The sequence below is a fragment of the Homo sapiens genome, chromosome 3, assembly GCF_000001405.40.
Source record: "Homo sapiens chromosome 3, GRCh38.p14 Primary Assembly".
NCBI classification, from domain to species: Eukaryota; Metazoa; Chordata; class Mammalia; order Primates; family Hominidae; genus Homo; species Homo sapiens.
Genome location: NC_000003.12, coordinates 196,504,457 through 196,525,782, shown reverse-complemented (window position 1 = coordinate 196,525,782; position 21,326 = coordinate 196,504,457). Strand labels below are relative to the sequence as shown.

Below are 21,326 nucleotides of genomic sequence, written 5' to 3'. Positions count from 1 at the left end.
GAGAATCACTTGAGCCCACGAGGTCGAGGCTGCAGTATGCCGTGATCATGCCACTGCACTCCAGCCTGGGCAACAGAGTGAGACCCTGTTTCTAAAAAAGAAAATGTTGGCCGGGTGCAGTGGCTCACGCCTGTAATCGCAGCACTTTGGGAGTCTGAAGACCAGCCTGGGCAACATGGTGAAACCTCATCTGTACAAAAAAAATTTTTAAGTCCATATAGGTTATTACCGCTAAATAAACGGAAGCAGGTGTTTTCTCTTGGACATACTGAAAATATTTAAAAGAAAGCTTAGATGGCAGCATGAGCATGAAGAACCAAGAAAGCATACTTGGAGTCAGTGCAAATGTTAGCTACCTTTCCTTTGCTTAATTCTAGTGCTCGAGTAAGAGCTATCAGCTCAGCTAATTGAGTGCTTGGACGGAGAGACACACTTTCAATGACGTCATTTAGAGTGACTACTGCATATCCTGCCTTATGGATTCCTTGTTCTACAAAAGAGCTCCCATCTGTGAAGAGGGTCCAGTGTGGGTTCTCTAGCGGTTTCCCTGAGATCTTCCCTGGCTGCATAGGTCTGTATCAGGACTTGTTCACAGTCATGTTCAGGTTCCCTAGTTTCCTTGGGGAGGAAAGTGGCTGGATTTAGGCGAGAACAATTTTTTTGTTTTTGGTTTTGTTTTTGTTTTTTTTGAGACGGAGTCTCACTCTGTCGCCAGGCTGGAGTGCAGTGGCACAATCTCAGCTCAATGCAACCTCCACCTCCTGGGTTCAAGTGATTTTCCTGCCTCAGCCTCCCGAGTAGCTGGGACTACAGGCATGCACCACCACCATGCCTGGCTAATTTTTATGTATTTAGTAGAGATGGGGTTTCACTATGTTGGCCAGGCTGATCTTGAACTCCTGACCTCATGATCCACCCACCTCGGCCCCCTAAAGTGCTGGGATTACAGGCGTGAGCCACTGCACAAGTTTTTAATTGGATGTTGGAACCCTCTAACAGCAGGGCCTGATAGTTAAGGAGTCGACTGTTTGTTAGCCAAAGGCTCCCCCTAGAGTACAGTAGTCCTGCCATGTTATGTGGGGTGTAAACAGTTAAATCATTTCCCAGGGTTAATTTGGGGGCTTCTGGGACCAGTAGGGCTACTGAGGCAATGGCTCAAAGGCATGCTGGCCATCCTTTAGCCACCAAATCAAGTTCCCTACTTAGGTAACCCACTGGCTGTTGAGCTGCTCGTCAAGCTTACGTTAAAACTCCCAGGGCCATTCCCTTCCTTTCTGATACGTACAGATGGAAAGTCTTCCCTACAGGAAGGCTGAGAGCTAGTGCCTTAAGCAAGGCTCGTTTTAGCTGGTCAAAGGCCTTTCAAGCTTCAGGTTCCCAGATTAAAAGATGAGTTTTAGGCCGGGCGTGGTGGCTCACGCCTGTAATCCCAGCATTTTGGGAGGTCGAGGTGGGCAGATCACGGGGTCAGGAGATCGAGACCATCCTGGCCAACATGGTGAAACCCCGTCTCTACTAAAAATACAAAAATTAGCTGGGCGTGGTGGCGCATGCCTGTAATCCCAGCTACTCGGAGGCTGAAGCAGGAGAATTGCTTGAACCCGGGAGGTGGAGGTTGCACCACTGCACTACAGCCTGGTGACAGAGCTAGACTCCATCTAAAAAAATAAAATAAAATAAAGATGAGTTTTAGCTCCCTGAGCTTCTTTTATGAGGTTATATAACAGGTGGACTATTTCACAATACCCAGGTATCCATAGTCTACAAAATCCTGTAATGTCCCCAAATCCTCTTAGTTGCTTGAGGTTTTAGGGAGAAGGGAGGAAGAAATAGGCTGAATCATTTCTTCCCCTAATGCTCCAGTTCCCTTGGACAGCACTAAACCCAGGTACTTCACCGAGGTTTTGCAAAGCTGGGCCTTGGGTTTTGAATCCTTATATCCTCTGTTAGCTAAGAAGTTAAGAAGAGCTTCAGTGCCTTCCTGAGGAGCTTCCTTAGTTGGGGCACAGAGCAGAGTATCATCAACGTACTGCAAGACCCTAATTTGAGGATGGGAACACTCAGAGACATCTTTTGACAGTGCCTGTCCAAACAGATGAGGCCTATCTCAAAATCCCTGAGGCAGCAACGTCCATGTTAACTGGGTGGTCTGGCTGGAGGGATCTTTGAAGGCAAACAGGTATTGAGAGTCAGGATGTAACGGTATGCAGAAAAAGGCATCCTTTAAACCTAGGACTGTAAACCATTTAGTTCCCTCAGGTATTTGAGTTAACAGTGTAAAGGGATTAGGTACCATTGGATGGATTGGAACGACAGCTTCATTAATGAGGCAGAGGTCCTGAACTAGTCTCCATTCCTTATTGAGGTTTTGCACTCCTAATATTGGGGCGTTGCAGGGGCTATTACAGGGTTTGAGGAGGCCCTGCATCTTTAGGTTATCGATAATGGCTGCTAGCCCTTTCCTAGCCTCTGGATTTAGGGGATATAGTCTCTGATTAGGAAAAAAAAATGGGATCCTGACTAGGCGTGGTGGCTCACACCTGTAATCCCAGTACTTCGGGAGGCCAAGACAGGTGGATCACCTGAGGTCAGAAGCTCCAGACTGGCCTGGCCAACATGGTGAAACCCCGTCTCTACTAAAAATACAAAAATTAGCCAGGCGTGGTGGCACATGCCTATAATCCCAGCTACTCAGGAGGCTGAGGCAGGAGAATCACTTGAACTCTGGAGGCGGAGGTTGTGGGGAGCTGAGATCACCCCACTGCAGTCCAGCCTGGGTGAGAAAGCAAGACTCCATCTCAAAAAGAAAGAAAAAAAAGGAGAAAGAAAGAAAGGAAAATAAGTGGGATCCTTAAGATGAATCTGGACTGGCCTAGAGATTATAGCTCAACCTCTTCTTTCTGGAGTAGCCCACACTTCTGGATTAATGTTAGCTTCCACCAGGGGGAGACAAAGAGTTTGTCCTGGGGCTGTAAGGATGCCGGCCCCCCTGCGAGCTAGAATATCTCTACCTGATAAAGGAATGGGACTTTCAAGCATGAGTAAAAAGGCATGTGTAAATAATAGGTCCCCTCCATCTGCAGCTAGGGGTGAAGAAAAATATCGGATTAGAGTTTTTCCTGAGACACCCCTTACAGTTGTGCTATGGGAAGAGGGGAGACCTGGATTAGAGAGAAGAGAGAGCCTGCCTCCAGTATCCAGAAGGAGATCTACCTTCCTTCAATTTCCAGAAACACCTGGAGCTCCTGTGCTGTAATGGCAGTTTGAGCTGCTGGAGCAGGGGGTTGAGCCCTGGGACTCATCAGTCCTGCTGGACCATCAGTGAGACTGGTTCTGAACCTAGTGACCTCCATCTCTGGGAGCAGTTCAATCTCCAGTGGTCTCCATCACAGACTGGACAGGGTTGAGCTGGCTTCTTCTTGCTGTTTGGGCATTCCTTCTTAAAATGCCCTGACTTGCCACATCAGTAACAGCTAGTGGATGCACCATGGGGATCCTGGACTTTGCAAGCTTGCAATGCTGCCACTAGAGCCTCTGTCCTTCTCTTGTGCTTCCTCTCTTTTTCTTGGGCCTCCTCCTGATCCCTATTATCAAAGACCAAAGTGGCTATATTCAGGAGGTTTTCCTGGGTGCTATTTGGTCCTATAGATTGCTTCTGTAGTTTCCTTCTAATATCTGGAGATGCCTGTGTGATAAACTTGTCCTTCAGGATGAGCTGTCCCTCAGCTAAATCAGGGGATAAAGAGGTGTGTTTTGTTAGTGTCTCTCTCAGCCTTTCCATAAAGGCTGTGGGATTCTCATCTGGTTTTTGGTCTATCGTAGATAGTTTACAGTAATTAAGAGGTTTGGCTCTGGTTTTTTTAGGCCTCTAATATGCACATTAAAAGTGCTTCGTTTTCCATTCATCGACGGAGCTATTGTGGTTCCCATGAGGGTTGTCTGCCAGAACTGCTTCTCTTCCTAGTGGGAATGGAGTTTCCATTTTTAGTTCACCTTCCCTATTTCCTTTTTCTCTCTTTGGTCTGCTATAGGAGACATGTTGCTTATCTCTGTAGGGTCCAACCCCACAGGGCTTAGCAGGTATTCTCCCCATGTACGGAGACGAAAGATAGTAAGAAATAAAGACACAAGACAAAGAGATAAAGAGAAAACAGCTGGGCCCGGGGGACCACTACCGCCAAGACGCAAAGACCCGTAGTGGCCTCAAATGATTGGGCATGCTGATATTTATTGCATACAAGACAAGGGAGCAGGGTAAGGAGGGTGAGTCGTCCAAGTGATTGATAAGGTCAAGCAAGTCACGTGATCATGGGACAGGGGGCCCTTCCCTTTTAGGTAGCCGAAGCAGAGAGAGAAGGCAGCAAACGTCAGTGTTTTCATCTGTGCACTTATAAGACAGATCAAAGATTTTAAGACTTTCACTCTTTCTTCTACCACTATCTGCTACAAACTTCAAAGAGGAACCCGGAGTACGGGAGGAACATGAAAGTGGACAAGGAGCATGACTATTGAAGCACAGCACCACAGTGAGGGGTTTAGGCCTCTGTATGACTGCAGGCAGGCCTGGATAATATCCAGCCTCCCACAAGAAGCTGGTGGAGCAGAGTGTTCCCTGACTCCTCCAAGGAAAGAGAGACTCCTTTTTGCAGTCTGCTAAGTAATGGGTGCCTTCCCAGGCACTGGCATTACCGCTTGACCCAGGACCCCTCAAGTGGCCCTTATGCAGGCGTTGACAAGAGGGCTCACCTCGTGCTTTCTAGGTCACTTCTCACAATGTCCCTTCAGCACCTGACCCTATACCTGCCAGTTATTCCTTGGCTATATTAGTAATACAACAAAGAGCAATATTAAGAGCTAATGATTAACAATGTTTATACTAATTATTGATAATATCCATGATCATCTCTATATCTAATTTGTATTATAACTATTCTTATTCTAACTATTTTCTTTATTATACTGAAACAGTTTGTGCCTTCAGTCTCTTGTCTCAGCACCTAGGTAATCCTTCACCCACACATCTCCATATTTTTCTGCTGCCTGAAGAACTGCCTGCTTTTCAGCAGCGGTGAGAGTCTGACTTAGGAGCAACACGTGAGATCAAACACCTGAGTTAAATTTTGGAAAGTTTCTATATATCTATCGGGGTCGTCAGAAAATCGGCTTGTCTCCCTTTATTTGCTTAAGATCCTGTAATGAGAAGGGAACATGAAGCTTCATAGCACCATTTCCATCAGGCATTTCCTGCAGAGGTAAGAGCGAAGTGGGCAAAGTGGGTGATATTGAAGATGGTGGAGCTGGAGGAGCTGATGGCATGATTGGAGGGGGTTCTGGATGAGGGGGACTAGAAGGGTTGGGACATTCAATAGCTGTCTCAGATTGCTCCTCTGGAATCTGCTTTAGCTCTGGGGAATTATTACCTATGGGCTTGCCTGCCATGGCTGCTAAAAGAACTGAGTCCATTGTACAAAACTTGTAAAGATCTGGGTTGTCTCACAGGGCAGAGAAAGCCTGTACATAGGGGACCTCAGACCATTTGCCCTTCTGTCTGCAGAAAAGATCGAATTTTTGGATAATATTAAAAGCAAGGCTCCCTCCAGCGGGTTTGTCTGTCCCCAGGATGGTAAGAAGGCCATGCCCTTGTGCAATATAACATGAGGTGCTTTTTCTTCAAAGTCTCAAGGTTGAAGAAGTCCCAGCGTTTTAGAATGCACTTGAGAGGAGTGCAGGTCGTAGATGGTCTGTTTCCCATCTAGAAAGAGAAGTGAGAAAAAGCCATCCATTTAGTCTCCTTCCTTTTGGTGTGTGACCCAGGGTGGAGAAGAAGACAGTGGGAGCGTCCCCCCCGACTGTTTTCCCTCCTTGGTTCCTGGGTCCTGGCACCTTGTTAAATGTGCCGCCCGTGGTTGTAGGTGTGACTCTCCAAGCCATGGAACCAGAGAAACTAGAAGATGGGATTAGTCATGCCTACCCATGCTATCCTAGTTCTCTGCATGTGGTTCCCCTTTTATTTCCTAGACTTGTGTGATCTGTGTGCCTCCCTGGAAAATGGATCTTGGGAAAAACTATGTAAAAGGCAAGGCTTCTTTAACGGAGGGAATGTGCTGGATTGGCTACTATTATGGCCCGCACTAGGGCATTTACCCTTAGAAAATGGTTCAGGTTAACTTCCAGACTTAAAATCCCCTTACTAATTAAGTACTGTTTTAATTGGAGACAGAATAGGTGCCTTAAAGGGACTTAAGGACCTAATGGCGATTTTCCTGCCGATGGGACAGTATCAGGACTAAAATTTGGCTGCAGAGGACATTTTACTCCTAATTGTTGGGGCAGAATTTTCCTATTCACAGAAGCAGCATAAAGAAAGCTGCAAAATGGAAAAATTGGGAAGCTACAGTGGACCAACGTGTCTTACAGAGGGGATTTCTATTTCCACGAGGTGGCGCTGTTGGCTTAAATATACCACGTGCTCGCACGAGGACTAGTAGCGAGTGACCTCACTGTGTGGGAAAGGGGAGGCCCTCTGTTCCTAAAAGATCACAAGATCCTGAACTACATCCATGGTTACTACAGCATTTCCTGATCTTCCCCAACAGGATTACTTCCCTGGGCTGCAAAAATTCCCTCACATTTGACACACAGAGAAAATAAGAGACATAGTGATCGCAGATAGAAAAAGAAGGGAAATTTTGCAACAGGCTAGCTGGGGACCCTTTACCAACACCTGGGCAGGCTATTGGAGGCTGAGTCCAGTCCAGAAGCATTTGAATAACACAAGGGTGTGCACTGGCCAGAAATTCTCAATTGCTTAAGAACTTTTCCTGGCCTCACGGGATGGTTAGGTTTCCTTGTTGAAAGGAAGCTGATTTGAAGCATGGCCAACGTGCCCAGTGACCCATGGGTATTGGGGGGGTCTCCATGTTCTCCCCAGTAAGCCTGACATCCAAGTCTCTAAGAATGGCAGCCACACTAACCGTGTCTTTAACTGGCTGATGGATGCTTGTTATTGATTTGATTAGATTTTAAAATGGAGACCAAGAGCCTTGGAATGAAAGGACAGATTTTGAGTCCGCTCCTCTACTCACTGCTCCATTGAATGTTGTACCTTGGGATTCCGGATGAGCCCCCAAAAATGACATGGCTACGTTGTCTAGGGAAACACCCAGGGTCCTTTGTCTTGTGCCAGGGTCCTTTGTCTCCAGCACTTTGGGAGGCTGAGGCAGGTGGATCACTTGAGGTCAGGAGTTAGAGACCAGCCTGGCCAACATGGCGAAACCCCGTCTCTACTAAAAATACAAAAACTAGCTGAGCATCGTGATATGGCTCCATTGTCTGGGGAAACATCCAGGGTCCTTTGTCACATGCCGAGAAAATTAGCAACATAGACACACGTAGAGTGGATTAAGGAGTGGAAAGTTTAGTAGGCAAGAAGGAAGAGAACAGCTCCCCTGTACAATGGGAGGAGGGCTCCAAATGGAATAACCCCCTTTAGCAGAAAGCAGTTGGTTATGTCAGGAGGCTTGAGGAGGTGGCATCTGATTTGCATAGAGCCCAAGGGATTGGTTTGACCAGGTGTGGCATTCACGTAGCCCACAAAAAAACTGGCCCTCCCACCCTAGCCTTTTATTATGCAAATGCAGCTACCTGGCTGGTTGCCATGATGCCTGTACATGTTACTTCTACCTGGCTGGCTGCCATGATATCTGCACATGTGGCAACAAAGAAAAAGCAGCAGGAACTGCCATATTGGGTGAACCTGGCTCTTAGCCACCAGCATTTACATATGTAAGCCTGTGACTTGCAAATCAATGCTTGCAGGTCTGGTTTTTCCAGCCACTTTCTGTTAGAAAAGAAATGTTTGCGGGGGCTGCTTTTTTATTAAAATAAAAAGCATTACTGAGGACTCTTTTACCCTTTCTAGCTGACTAAAATAATTTTTTAATAACTCCTGTAATAGTGGTGGCACACACCTGGAATCCCAGCTACTAGGGGAGCTGAGGCAGGAGACCTGCTTGAACCTGGGAGGCAGAGGTTGCAGTGAGCCCAGATCATGCCACTGCACTCCAGCCTGGGCAACAGAGTGAGAGTCCATCTCAAGAAAATAAAATAAATAGAATTCAGATGAACAGGCAGTTTTAGTGATGCATAGGGGAAGGCACAGGGGGGTGCTGTTAGATATGTATAGGGAAAGGTATGGGGGGGTGCTGTTAGAGATGCATAGAGGAAGATATGGTGGAGGGTGCTGTAGAGCTTCCACACCCTCTCCCCAGCACCATCCCACCAGCGCTTCCTTATATTTGGCAACCCAGAAGCTCATCAAACCTCATTGTCCAAGAATTTTTATGGAACTTAATCTCCAGCTCACTCATTTCATTTCCTAGAGGTTGGTGGGTGGGGGCTGAAAGTTCCAACTTAGAATCACCTGGTCTTTCTAGTGACCAGCCCCATCTGGAGGCTATTCTAGTTGCACCACCCTAAATCACCTCATTAGCATAAACTCACATGTGATCAAAAGGGGCTCATTATGAATAAAAAAAGACACTCCTATCACTCAGGAAATTCCAAGGGTTTTAGGAGCTTTGTGGCTGAAATGGGGACGAAGACCAAATATATTTCATATTATACTACAATATCACTGCTAGATTAATCTTTTTTTTTTTTTTTTTTTTTTTTTTTTTGCGATGGAGTCTCGCTGTGTCACCCAGGCTGGAGTGCAGTGGCGCAATTGCTATTTCTGCTCACTGCAACCTCCACCTCCCGGGTTTGAGCGATTCTCCTATCTCAGACTCCCAAGTAGCTGGGACTACAGGTGTGTGCCACCATGCCCAGCTAATTTTTGTATTTTTAGTAGAGATGGGTTTTTGCCATGTTGGCCAAGCTGGTCTCGAATTCCTGACCTCAAGTGATCTACCCACCTCAGCCTCCCAAAATGTTGGGATTACAGGTGAGAGCCACTGCACCTGAGCCTAGATTAATCTTCTAGAACCAACAGCTCACATCTGTCCAAACTCCTTACCAAGCTAGCTAGAAGCATCCCCTCTCTTATAAGCCTTATGTGCTGTCTCCCTGCTAGTATGTTCCTTGAGGACAAGGATTTCGCCTTACTTATCACTATATTACCAGTGCCTGGAATAGTGCTGCTCATCCATTCGTAGGTTTTATACATTCAATTAATATCTATGATGCTCAGTAAATATTGAATAAGTGAATAAAGTATTCAGTGAAAGAACAAATACGTGACATGGCTCTTACCAGTTTAAATGGTGTGGTTATTTTCTTTTTCTTATATGAATCTTTTGCTCAAAACATACCTACTCATTGTTTCCTGAACACATCATTTACTTTGCCACCTCTGTGATTTTGCTCACACAATTTCTCCAGTTCGTAACACCCTTAACACTCTTCTCTGATAATCAAAGACCTTGACCTTTAAGGCCAAGCCAAGTACCACCTTCAGGGTGAATATCTCCCCAAGGACCCAAGATTTCAGTGACTTAGTCTCTCACCTTCTATTATTTTTATGGTCTCTATCTACTTAGCACACATCCCATATACATTTTCTATTTAAGGATATATTCTTTCTTCCCAACTAGATTTTAAATCTCATGAAAACAGCAGTCCTATTTTATTTCCACATTTATATTCAATTCCTAATCTAATATATATATAATTATATAAAATTATATATATATTTTATATACGATATAAATTATATATTATATATAATTATATGTATAATTTTATATATAATTATATATATATATATATATATATATATATATATATATATATATCCTATCCTCTTGCCCGGGCTGGAGTGCAGTGGCATGATCATAGCTCACTGCAGCTTCGAACTCCTGGGCTCAAGCAGTCCTCCCACTTCAGCCTCTTGAGTAGCTGGGACTACAGGCATGCACCACCACTCCTGGCTAATTTTTGTATTTTTTGTGGAGACAGTCTCGCTCTGTGGCCCAGGCTGGTCTTGAATTCCTGGGCTCAAGCAATCCTCCCACCTTGGCTTCCCCAAGTGCTGGGATTACAGGAGTGAGCCACCATACCCAGCCATAACAAGTATTTAGTAGTTTCTAATGATAGTTAGATTTTTTGCTTTGATATCATCATCATAAAAGATCTGGGGCACTCTTCAAACCTAATTTAGGTTGTAATTGAATAATGAAGCAGTTAAAATATGACAGTAATATTTCCATCAAACTTAATCCTATACGTTACGTTAATGTATCTGTATATACATTTACCATAATGTACACAGTCATTAATTATACATGGTTGTTGCTGTATGTTAATGTACTATGGTTCAGTTTTCAAAGGCAAATGTTATAGTGCATTCCAGGACACCTGTGTCCACGAGATAAGTTCTTTGAAACTATATTTGGATCTGCAGGCTATTAAAAGCTTCTTGTACTGAGTGACCTTTCAGGCAGAATGTAGACTGAGCGCTCCTGCTACTGCTGCCTGTTGCTGAGAGGAAGACCGCAGAAAATTCTGGATTCAAACATTTATTGCTTTTTTTGTTTTGCTTTGTTTTTGTTTTCTTTCCTTTTGCCTTCAGAAGATGAACAATGAAACCACAACCCTGATATCCTTGAAGGAGGCAATGAAAAGGTTGCTGAGGGCTATAGGGAGGGAGCAAGCATGGGTCTGCTATTCTGGGAAGATGGGTAAGAGAAGAATGAAGAATAGAAATAAAGAACTGCAGACATGCTCATTAGAATTCTGTCTCTGTGGCCGGTGCGGTGGCTCACACCTGTAATCCCAGCACACTGGGAGGCCGAGGTGGGCGGATCACAGGGTCAAGAGATTGAGACCAGCCTGGCGAACATGGTGAAACCCTGCCTCTACTAAAAATACAAAAATTACCCAGGCATGGTGGCGGGCGCCTGTAGTCCCAGCTACTTGGGAGGCTGAGGCAGGAGAATCACTTGAACCCGGGAGGTGGAGGTTGCAGTGAGCCGAGATCGTGCCACTGCACTCCAGCCTGGCAACAGAGCAAGACTCCGTCCAAAAAAAGAATTCCGTCTCTATTACAGTGGTTTAAGTCTTCCAGGCCCAAACCTATGTAAATTAACAATAAAGAAAAGTCTGCTCCCAGGTGCTGTAACTCCATTGAATGTATGCATATGCTAAATCCTAGATTTACAAAAATAAGTAAAATGTGGTTTCTGCCCTCAAGGAGCTCACAGCCTGTAGGAAAGAGAAAAGTTTGAAAAACATTTACAATTTAATGTGACTGACCTTACAATGGTGATGTTCCTAAAGGTCTATGCGAACATGAAGGGAGGATCAACCAATTTTGCCTTTGACACTAGAAAAAGGAACTCTTCATATAGGGTCATTTAAGCTGGATCTTAAAGTGCAAGTAGGAGCTTATGAGGGAGAAAAATATGGGAAGGCATTCTAGGCTGAGGAAACAGTGCATATAAGCCATATGTAAGCTTGGAACCACATAATGTATTCAAGCAGCAACTAGATGTCTCGTGTAATTGGTAACTAGGATGGGTGAGGGGACTGGTGGAAGACAGGAGCAAAGGGTGAAGGCCCTTGACTTTCCTGCTGAGGAGATCCAGTTTGCCTCTGAGTATATCACTGGGCAAGCCAGGATGACATAAACCATTTGTAATCAGTTGAGTCACAGAATCGGAATTGTGTTTTAGAAGAATGTGTCTGGAGGATGGATGGGAAATGGAAAACGGGGGTCCAGTTAGGCTACGGTAATCTTGGGTCCTAGTGAAAGATGATGAGAAACTCATTTGATGGAGATGGAGAGGCAGGAATGGGTTAGAGAGACATAAATCAGGGGAAGAAAAAAGTTGAGAATTATTCTGAGATTTCTAGTTCAAGCAATTGATTGGATGGTGAGGTCATTAACGAAACTAGGGAACTGTACTAAAACAAAACAAAACAGCCTGCGCTGAGATTTGCATGTTGGTTGAGATTTATCTGGAACGGCCTCGGACTGTCCTTTGGTGAGAGGATTCCAAAGAACTGCTGCAACTGTAAATTTTTATACTGATTGACAAGCTAGACTTCTTCCCTAAGTTTCAAACTACAGATGACCTATAAGCAATATAGTCTTAAAGGTCTAAAAGTTAACACAAAATAGTATGCCAAATGGCTTTTTTTTTTTTTTTTTTTTTGAGACAGAGTCTCACTCTGTCACCAGGCTGGAGTGCAGTGGCGCGATTTCAGCTCACTGCAACCTCCGCCTCCCAGGTTCAAGTGATTCTCCTGCCTCAGCCTCCTGAGTAACTGGGACTACAGGTGTGCATCACCACACCCGGCTAATTTTTGTATTTTTAGTAAAGAAGGGGTTTTACCATGTTGGCCAGGATGGTCTCGATCTCTTGACCTCATGATCCACCTGCCTTGGCCTCCCAAATGGCTGGGATTACAGGCGTGAGCCACTGCACCCGGCCAACTTTCTTTTTTTTTTTTTGACACAGGGTCTTGCTGTGTTGCTCAAGCTGAGTGCAGTGGCATGATCACAGCTCACTGCAGCTTTGAACTCCTGGGCTGAAGCAATTCTCATACCTCAGCTTCCCCAGTAGCTGGGACCACAAGTGTGCACACCACCACACTAGGCTAATTTTTTATTTTTTGTAGAGATGAGGTCTCACTATGTTGCCCAAGCTGGTCTCAAACTCCTGGACTCAAGTGATCCACCCACCTTGGCCTCCCAAACTGCTGTGATTACAGTTGTGAGCCACTGCACCTAGCTCAAATCACATGGTTTTGACTTGTAGACAGAAATTACAGGCATATCAGGTCACACAGGCTTCTATTCCTACAAAATGAACATTTTATACTGAGTCTTATCTATGTGTAAAGCAGTGACAACATTTCTTCATAGTAATTTCTGAAGATGGGGGAGGTATTAGTAGGTTAAGCTTAGGAGAGTTGAGTTTGACATCTCCATCTTTGTGGAGATGCACAAAACATATTGAAAATACATCTCTAGGCCGGGTGCGGTGGCTCACGCCTGTAATCCCAGAACTTTGGGAGGCCGAGGTGGGCGGATCGCCTGAGGTCAGGAGTTCGAGACCAGCCTGGCCAACATGGTGAAACCCCATCTCTACTAAAAATACAAAAATTAGCCGGATGTGGTGGCGCCTGTAATCCCAGCTACTCGGGAGACTGAGGCAGGAGAATCACTTGAACCTGGGAGACAGAGGTTGCAGTGAGCCAGGATCGTGCCACTGTACTCCAGCCTGGCGACAGAGCAAGACTCCATCTCAAAAAAAAAAAAAAAAAAAAAGAAAGGAAATACAGGTTTAAAGCTTAGGAGAGATGTAGTACCTGAAGGTGAATTAGCCTAGGGAGAAATTTAGGACCAAGAATAAAAGATGATCAAGCATAGAATGCTGGGCAGTCACAAAGGTATTCAGGTCACTGGAGATACGGAAGCTCAGAGAAGTAGCATGTGTGTTGACGCATCACTTCCCTCATAACGACAATCTAGGTGGCCCAGGCATGTTTCCCTCATAACAACAATCTACTTGGCCCAGGCAAGTTTCCCTCATAACGACAATCTAGGCGGCCCAGGCAAGTTTCTCTCATAACCACAATCTAGGCGGCCCAGGCAAGTTTCCCTCATAACCACAATCTACATGGCTCAGGCAAGTTTCCCTCATAACCACAATCTAGGTGGCTCAGGCAGGTTTCCCTCATAACGACAATCTAGGTGGCCCAGGCAGGTTTCCCTCATAAGGACAATCTAGGCAGCCCAGGCAAGTTTCCCTCATAAGGACAATGTAGGTGGCCGAGGCAGGTTTCCCTCATAACAACAATCTAGGTGGCTCAGGCAAGTTTCCCTCATAAGGACAATCTAGGTGGCCCAGGCAGGTTTCCCTCATAACAACAATCTACTTGGCGCAGGCAAGTTTCCCTCATAAAGACAATCTAGGCAGCCCAGGCAGGTTTCCCTCATAACAACAATCTAGGCGGCCCAGGCAGGTTTCCCTCATAACGACAATCTAGGCGGCCCAGGCAGGTTTCCCTCATAAGGACAATCTAGGCGGCCCAGGCAGGTTTCCCTCATAAGGACAATCTAGGCGGCCCAGGCAGGTTTCCCTCATAAGGACAATCTAGGCGGCCCAGGCAGGTTTCCCTCATAAGGACAATCTAGGCGGCCCAGGCAGGTTTCCCTCATAAGGACAATCTAGGTGGCCCAGGCAGGTTTCCCTCATAAGGACAATCTAGGTGGCCCAGGCAGGTTTCCCTCATAAGGACAATCTAGGTGGCCCAGGCAGGTTTCCCTCATAAGGACAATCTAGGTGGCCCAGGCAGGTTTCCCTCATAATGAGAATCTAGGTGGCTCAGGCAGGTTTCCCTCATAAGGACAATCTAGGTGGCCCAGGCAGGTTTCCCTCATAAGGACAATCTAGGTGGCCCAGGCAGGTTTCCCTCATAACAACAATCTACTTGGCGCAGGCAAGTTTCCCTCATAAAGACAATCTAGGTGGCCCAGGCAAGTTTCCCTCATAAGGACAATCTAGGTGGCCCAGGCAGGTTTCCCTCATAAGGACAATCTAGGTGGCTCAGGCAAGTTTCCCTCATAAAGACAATCTAGGTGGCCCAGGCAGGTTTCCCTCATAAGGACAATCTAGGTGGCTCAGGCAAGTTTCCCTCATAAAGACAATCTAGGTGGCCCAGGCAAATTTCCCTCATAATGACAATCTAGGTGGCCCAGGCAAGTTTCCCTCATAAGGACAATCTAGGTGGCTCAGGCAAGTGAATTGTGTTGCTCCAGTCTTTGTGGTTAATTAGACATAATGCTGGTGCCACAGCAGCCTCTGATGATCATGGCTGTTCGGAGCTACTCAAATCCCCATTTTGGGTTACAGAACTCAGCATTTCATTCTCATCAAAGATGTCAATCATACAGGGAAACTTTTATTACTGTGCAAGACCTTTGCTGGGTATTGGGGGACAGACATAAAGGTATCTAAGAAATAGTCTCTGATTCCTTCCCTCCAAGAACGTAGTTTAGTTCATGAAAGGCTAACCCTAATAGTAAAGCAGGAGGCGGGAGATGGGTCCACAGAGGCAGTGCTTGTAAGCGAGACGCAGGGGGGCAAGGAGATCACCAGGTAGATGGGGATTCAAAAAGGCAGTGGATTTGAGCTGATTCTGGAAGAAAGGATAAGAGTTGGACAATTAGAATCGGGTAGAAAATAGGGTATAAGCCATATGTAAGCTTGGAACCACATAATGTATTCAAGCAGCAACTAGATGTCTCATGTAATTGGTGACTAGGATGGGTGAGGGGACTGGCGGAAGATAGGAGCAAAGGGTGAAGGCCCTTGACTTTCCTGCCGAGGAGATCCAGATTATATACTGGTCTCAGCACTAGCTAACTTTATGACATTAGGTCTCAATCCTCTTGAGACTCAATTTCTTTAATAGTAAAATAGTAAAAATGACTGCTTTACTTTTTATGGTTGCTGTGAACACCAAAGTAATGCTTACATAAAATATTCTCTAAATCGTAAGGTATAGCCCGGGCATGGTGGCTCATGGCTGTAATCCCAGTACTTTGGGAGGCTAAGACAGGTGGATCACTGGAGCCCAGGTGTTGAAGACCAGCCAAACATAGCAATACCTGGTCTCTACAAAAAATATTTTTTAAAAATTAGCCAGGTATGGTGGCACACAACTGTAGTCCTAGCTACTCGGGAGGCTGAGGTGGGAAGATCACTTGAGCCTGGGAGGTAGTGATTGTGCCACTGCACTCCGGTTTGGGTGACAGAGTGAGACTCTGTATTAGAAAATAAATAAATACATAAAGTATAAGGTATAATACAAAAACAAGACACGACAGGCAATTCAAATAATTAGACAATTCAAAAGTTTGCAATATATGGAATGAAAGGACAAGGATGATGGCTAGAGGGAATGGCAAATGGAGCCATTTGTTGAAACTTTCAAATTCAAATAGCTACCCATTTTCCCTTCATAGTTTAAAGTAAAAGTAAAAAAAAAAAAGTTATCCAAATTTGGTAATGGTTGTAAATAATGTATTAGAGCCTCAGCTTAAATCAAAACCTTAGTTTTGTCCTGTAACCTAAACTAACCCTTGATTCTGTTATCCTACAGAGTAGACCACAAACTCCAAGCGTTAGAAACACAGTTCAAAGAACTAGACTTCACCAAGGATAACCTGATGCAGAAATTCGAACATCATAGTAAGGCTTTGGCAAGCCAAGCAGCCCAAGATGAGATGTGGACAGCAGTTCGGGCACTCCAGTGAGTATCAATTGAGAAATCAGTGGGATTCTGTGGCTTTGTGAGAGCTTCCACTGGTCATTGCAAAATTGAATTTCTTAGTATGTTTCCCACAATGGATTGTAAAGCAATTACATTTTCTTAGGTTCATTTATTTTTTTAAAAAAAGATTAATTTGGCCGGGCACAGTGGCTCACACCTGTAATCCCAGCACTTTGGGAGGCCGAGGCGGGCGGATCACGAGGTCAGGAGATCGAGACCACCCTGGCTGACACAGTGAAACCCTGCCTCTACTAAAAATACAAAAAAAAAAAAAAAAAAAAATTAGCCGGGTGTGGTGGCAGGCACCTGTAGTCCCAACTACTCGGGAGGCTGAGGCAGGAGAATGGCGTGAACCCGGGAGGCGGAGCTTGCAGTGAGCCGAGATCTCACCACTGCACTCCAGCCTGGGTGACAAAGCGAGACTCCGTCTCAAAGAAAAAAAAAAGATTAATTTGAGCATCTCTTTATATGCCAGGCACTATAGTACACATCTCATCACAAAGTCTCTTGCTTGCCAAAGCCTTATTTGCATTAATTTTTTTTTCTTTTTTTTTTTTTTTTTGAGATGGAGTCTCACTCTGTCACCCAGGCTGGAGTGCAGTGGGGCAATCTTGGCTCCCTGCAAGCTCCACTTCCTGGGTTCACGCCATTCTCCTGCCTCAGCCTCCCGAGTAGCTGGGATTACAGGCGCCCGCCACCATGCCCAGCTAATTTTTGTATTTTTAGTAGAGACGGGGTTTCACCATGTTGGCCAGGCTGGTCTCAAACTCCTGACCTCAGGTGATCCAACCACCTCGTCCTCCCACAGTGCTGGGATTACAGGCGTGAGCACCACGCCCAGCCTATCTGCATTAATTCTAAAGTGAGTACTGGCTGGGCATGATGGCTCACGCCTTTAATCCCAGCACTCTGGGAAGCCGAGGCGACAGGATCACTTGAGCTCAGGAGTTTGAGAACAGCCTGGGCAACAAAGTGAGACCCTGTCTCTTAAAAAAAAATAAAATGTAAGTATTTGAATTTGAATTTAAATTCTAAAGTAAATATTTTCTAAATTACAACAGCTGGTTCTCCTAGTGGGTTCATATTGAGTTATCCTAAAAGAATTCATTTTCTGTTTCTATATAAAATATTTTTGACCGCTTAAGAAGCTCTCCATATTTTTTGTAGGCTCACTTCAATGGAATTGAATATTTTATACAGCTACGTCATTGAAGTACTTATCTGCTTGCATACTCGTGTGCTTGAGAAGCTGCCAGACCTGGTGAGAGGTCTTCCAACCTTAGCCTCTGTACTCAGAAGAAAAGTTAAGAACAAGCGCGTTAGAGTTGTATGGGAGTCCATACTGGAGGAGTGTGGGCTGCAAGAAGGAGACATCACAGCACTTTGTACCTTCTTTATTGCACGTGGTAACAAGGCAGAACACTATACTGCTAAAGTGAGGCAGATGTACATCAGGGATGTCACGTTCCTAATTACTAACATGGTAAAGAACCAGGCTCTGCAGGACAGTTTGCTGAGGGCTGTGCAGGTAATTGAGAAGGGGAAAGCAGTTAGGACCCCTGAAAAGCAAAAGTCATCCCTCGAAGAGTTGATACCATCTGTCAAAAACTAACCTGTTACCCTATGACCCAGTGATTCCACCTACAGTAATTTATCTTGGAAACAGCAAAAAGTATGCACAATTTATTATAGTCTTATTTTTATAGCAAAGAGTGAGAGGATGTTAAATAAATTATGACAAATTGATACAATAGATACTTTCTTTGCAGCCATATAAAAGAATGAAGAAGCTCTTTGTGTAATGATATGAAGTGATCACCAAATGTATTGTTGTTTTCAAATGTTTATTTCCAATATACATTGCTAAGTGGAAAAAAGGTGACAAATATATATATATAAATATATATATAACACATATTAGTTTACATATCCATAAACTTCTTCTGCAGAGATACACAAGACAGTGATAACATTAGTTGTCAGGAAAGAAAGCTAAGAGGCTAGGGGTCAAAGACAAGAGGAAGTCTTTTCACTGTTAATCCATTTTTTACATTTTCAATTTTGAACCATGTGAATGTATTACCTATTTAAAAAATAAACAAGGCCGGACATGGTGGCTCATGCCTATAATCCAAGCACCTTAGGAGGCCAAGGTAGGAGGATCACTTGAGCTCAGGGGTTTCAGACCAGCCTGGGCAACACAGTGATAGCAATAGGAGGCAGGTAAATTCCTAGGCAGACAGGGAGGGGTCCCTGGTGAAACTCAACCTTCAAGCCAAGGACAGTCTAAAGCCTGAAAACCAAGCTATGAGTTCTGGATAAATCCATGAGCCAGACTGAGAGCTCCCATTCTCGTCTGGCACCCTCTCTCCTGATTGGTCCTTACCCTTCACCTATTTTATACATACCTACCCTTCCGCGATTGGTCCTCTACACTATCGTGCCTATTTCTGAATGGTGCTTTGTCAAGCATAGCCACAGACCAATCAGCATGCACTTGCCCATTTCTAGCCCACAAAAACCCATAGACTCAGGCTCGTGGCCAGCAACCCACCTTCGGGTCCCCTCTCACTGCCAAGAGCCGTTCTGTCACTCAATAAATTCTACTTTGCCTTACTCACTCTCCAGTGTCCGTGTACCTCATTCTTCTCAGTCATGGGACAACAACTCAGAACTCATCAAATTCGGGAGTAAGAGCTGTAACAATAGTGAGACCTCATCTCTATTTTCATAAATTAAAACAAAAACACCTAAAATATACATCATGAGATCCTATAAATTGTATCTTAATGTGTATTTGTTCTCTAATGAAGTACCATAGTTATTTATACCAGAAAGGAGATTCTTACATCTTGACCATTTATTTATAATATTTATCGAATACCAAATGCCATGTACTAGGTACTGTGGATAACAGAAACATTAAAAATGTGGATCCTGCCCTCGAGGTAAAGATTAAGTGCCGATGCTTTATTTGGGAGGTACAAATTCAGGACAGCCAGAGTGAAGAAAGCTGGAAGGAAGTTAGGTAGAGAAGGATGTGAAGTAATACATGGTGATGTGTTACCTTGCTGTCCCCTCCTTGAAAATGAGCCACAAGAGACACAGCAGCTTTTTCAGCAGGCACACTCCCTCAGTCTTGCCTGTCTCCAGACACACTGGAGAAACCATCCTTGGAAGGAAGAAGAAAAGGGAATTTAAGTATTGTGCTCGGTCAGTCCACTGGTTTCAATTGGTGAAAGTTACTCCATGGGGAGTGACCCCCCCACCCTCCCAGCATGCATTACCGAGGCCCTAGCAGCCTCTGAGAAGTCAGCTCCTGCATTGTTCAGAAGTGGCAGGAGAAGCCAGAGATTCCGGAAATGCAACTGGTGAGCCCCAAAAAGAGCAAGTGATTATGGGTACAGAAAGCAAACAAAGTGAAGGAAATCTGAGGAAGTACATGAAATATATCCATTACACAAGACATAAGCACCTGAAGATAGAAATCAAAATACAGGAGTTCAATAGTAAAACTGCAATAAAAATCAGTATCACTGGGCAATATATGACTGGGTGAGTTTAGAAAAGGGGCATTACTGGTGGTGGGGAGTGCATTAAATTGCACATAAAAGTGCACTCTGGAAGAAGTGAATTAATTTTTTTTTTTTTCGAGACGGAGTCTTGCTCTGTCAACCCAGGCTGGAGTGCAGTGGTGCAATCTGGCCTCACTGCAACCTCTGCCTCCCGGGTTCAAGCAATTCTTCTGCCTCAGCCTCCCGACTAGCTGGGATTACAGGCACCTGCCACCATGCCCAGCTAATTTTTGTATTTTTAGTAGAGACTGAGTTTCAACATGTTGGTCAGGCTGGTCTCGAACTCCTGACCTTGTGATCCGCCCTCCTTGGCCTCCCAAAGTGCTGGGATTACAGGCATGAGCCACCGTGCCTGGCCCAACTGCATTAAATTGGTGTTTGAAGTAGGCACAGCCACAAAGCAACCCATTTAGGATGAACCGAGAAAGCAATGTCATGAAAGCAAAACGTTTGGATGACAGAGAATAAATCATAGTTGCATGTTTAAAAGAATAATGGGAGATTCGATGGGAAAAGCAGGTTGTGGACATATTAGGAAGCCTGAAGGCCAGGTGCAGTGGCTCACGCCTGTAATCCCAGCACTTTGGAAGGCCAAGGCCGGTGGATCACCTGAGGTCAGGAGTTCGAGACCAGCATGGCCAACATGGTGAAACCCCATCTCTACTAAGAATACAAAAATTTGCCAGGCGTGGTATTACAATGCACGTGGTATTACAAGGCACGCGCCTGTAATTGCAGCTACTCGGGAGGCTGAGGCATGAGAATCGCTTGAACCCAGGAGGTGGAGGTTGCAGTAAGCTGAGATCAAACCACTGCACTCCAACCTGGGCAACAGAATGAGGAGCCATCTCAAAAAAACAAACAAACGAACAAAAAACAAGCCTGAAATTCCAAGCTAAGGTACTGTTACTGTAGACAACCAGATGACAGTCCCAGGTTTCTTTTTTTTTTCTTTTTTTTGAGACAGGGTCTTGCCCTGTCACCCAGGCTGGGGTGCAGTGGTACGATCACTGTTCACTGCAGCCTTGACCTCCTGGGCTCAAGTGATCCTCCCACCTCAGCCACCAGAGTAGCTGAGAGTATAAGTGTGAGCCAGCACACCGAGTTAATTTTTTTATTTTTTGTAGAGACAGGGTCTCACTATGTTGCCCAGGCTGGACCTGAACTCCTGGGCTCCACTGATCTTCCCGCCTTGGCCTTCCAAAGTGCTGGGACTACAGGTGTGAGCTATCACAGACAATAACAGGTTTCTGAACCCACATTGAAATGAAAGTTCCCAAAGACTTCTACCAACGACCGATGTCTCCTCGTTGTTCTCAACCTGGAAACCATCCCCTACCCAGCCTGAATGCTCTCAGCAGCCTCAAAACAACTTAAAGGCTGCTTTCACGCACAGTGATTTTCTTTTCTCTTCCTTCACACTGATTGATTCCCTCAAAAAATGCAGGTCCGGAGCTGGCTATGGAG

General features: G+C 45.0%; 1 protein-coding gene and 1 long non-coding RNA gene across 5 annotated transcripts, besides 1 other annotated feature; one reads left to right on the top strand and one right to left on the bottom strand.

The window, feature by feature from the left end:
- The first annotated feature begins 4,827 nt into the window (after window positions 1-4,827).
- On the top strand, window positions 4,828-18,904 carry SMCO1 (single-pass membrane protein with coiled-coil domains 1). 3 transcript variants are annotated; one of them, XM_024453435.2, is made up of 3 exons: window positions 4,828-5,252; window positions 16,114-16,263; window positions 17,452-18,904. In XM_024453435.2, the coding sequence occupies exons 1-3, from the start codon at window positions 5,209-5,211 to the stop codon at window positions 17,894-17,896; spliced, it is 639 nt and encodes a 212-aa protein (XP_024309203.1). In that variant the 5' UTR covers window positions 4,828-5,208; the 3' UTR covers window positions 17,897-18,904. The 3 variants fall into 3 exon arrangements, with proteins under 3 accessions (XP_024309203.1, NP_001071125.1, NP_001307402.1); NM_001077657.3 differs by lacking the exon at window positions 4,828-5,252 and adding an exon at window positions 10,437-10,623; NM_001320473.2 differs by lacking the exon at window positions 4,828-5,252 and adding an exon at window positions 10,437-10,679.
- Window positions 13,343-13,843: an enhancer, noted in NCBI's record as "H3K27ac hESC enhancer chr3:196238811-196239311 (GRCh37/hg19 assembly coordinates)". NCBI's record gives its function as "activates a minimal SCP1, AML or CMV promoter by ChIP-STARR-seq in naive H9 embryonic stem cells {active_cell/tissue: H9 hESC(naive)}" and the evidence as "EXISTENCE:reporter gene assay evidence [ECO:0000049][PMID:30033119]".
- Window positions 18,891-20,431, bottom strand: LOC105374307 (uncharacterized). 2 transcript variants are annotated; one of them, XR_924897.3, is made up of 3 exons: window positions 19,572-20,431; window positions 19,352-19,456; window positions 18,891-18,981 (listed from the first exon to the last, which is right to left on the bottom strand). It is a non-coding gene; the product is annotated as an uncharacterized LOC105374307 (long non-coding RNA). The 2 variants fall into 2 exon arrangements; XR_007096241.1 differs by lacking the exon at window positions 18,891-18,981 and having other exon boundaries at window positions 19,228-19,456.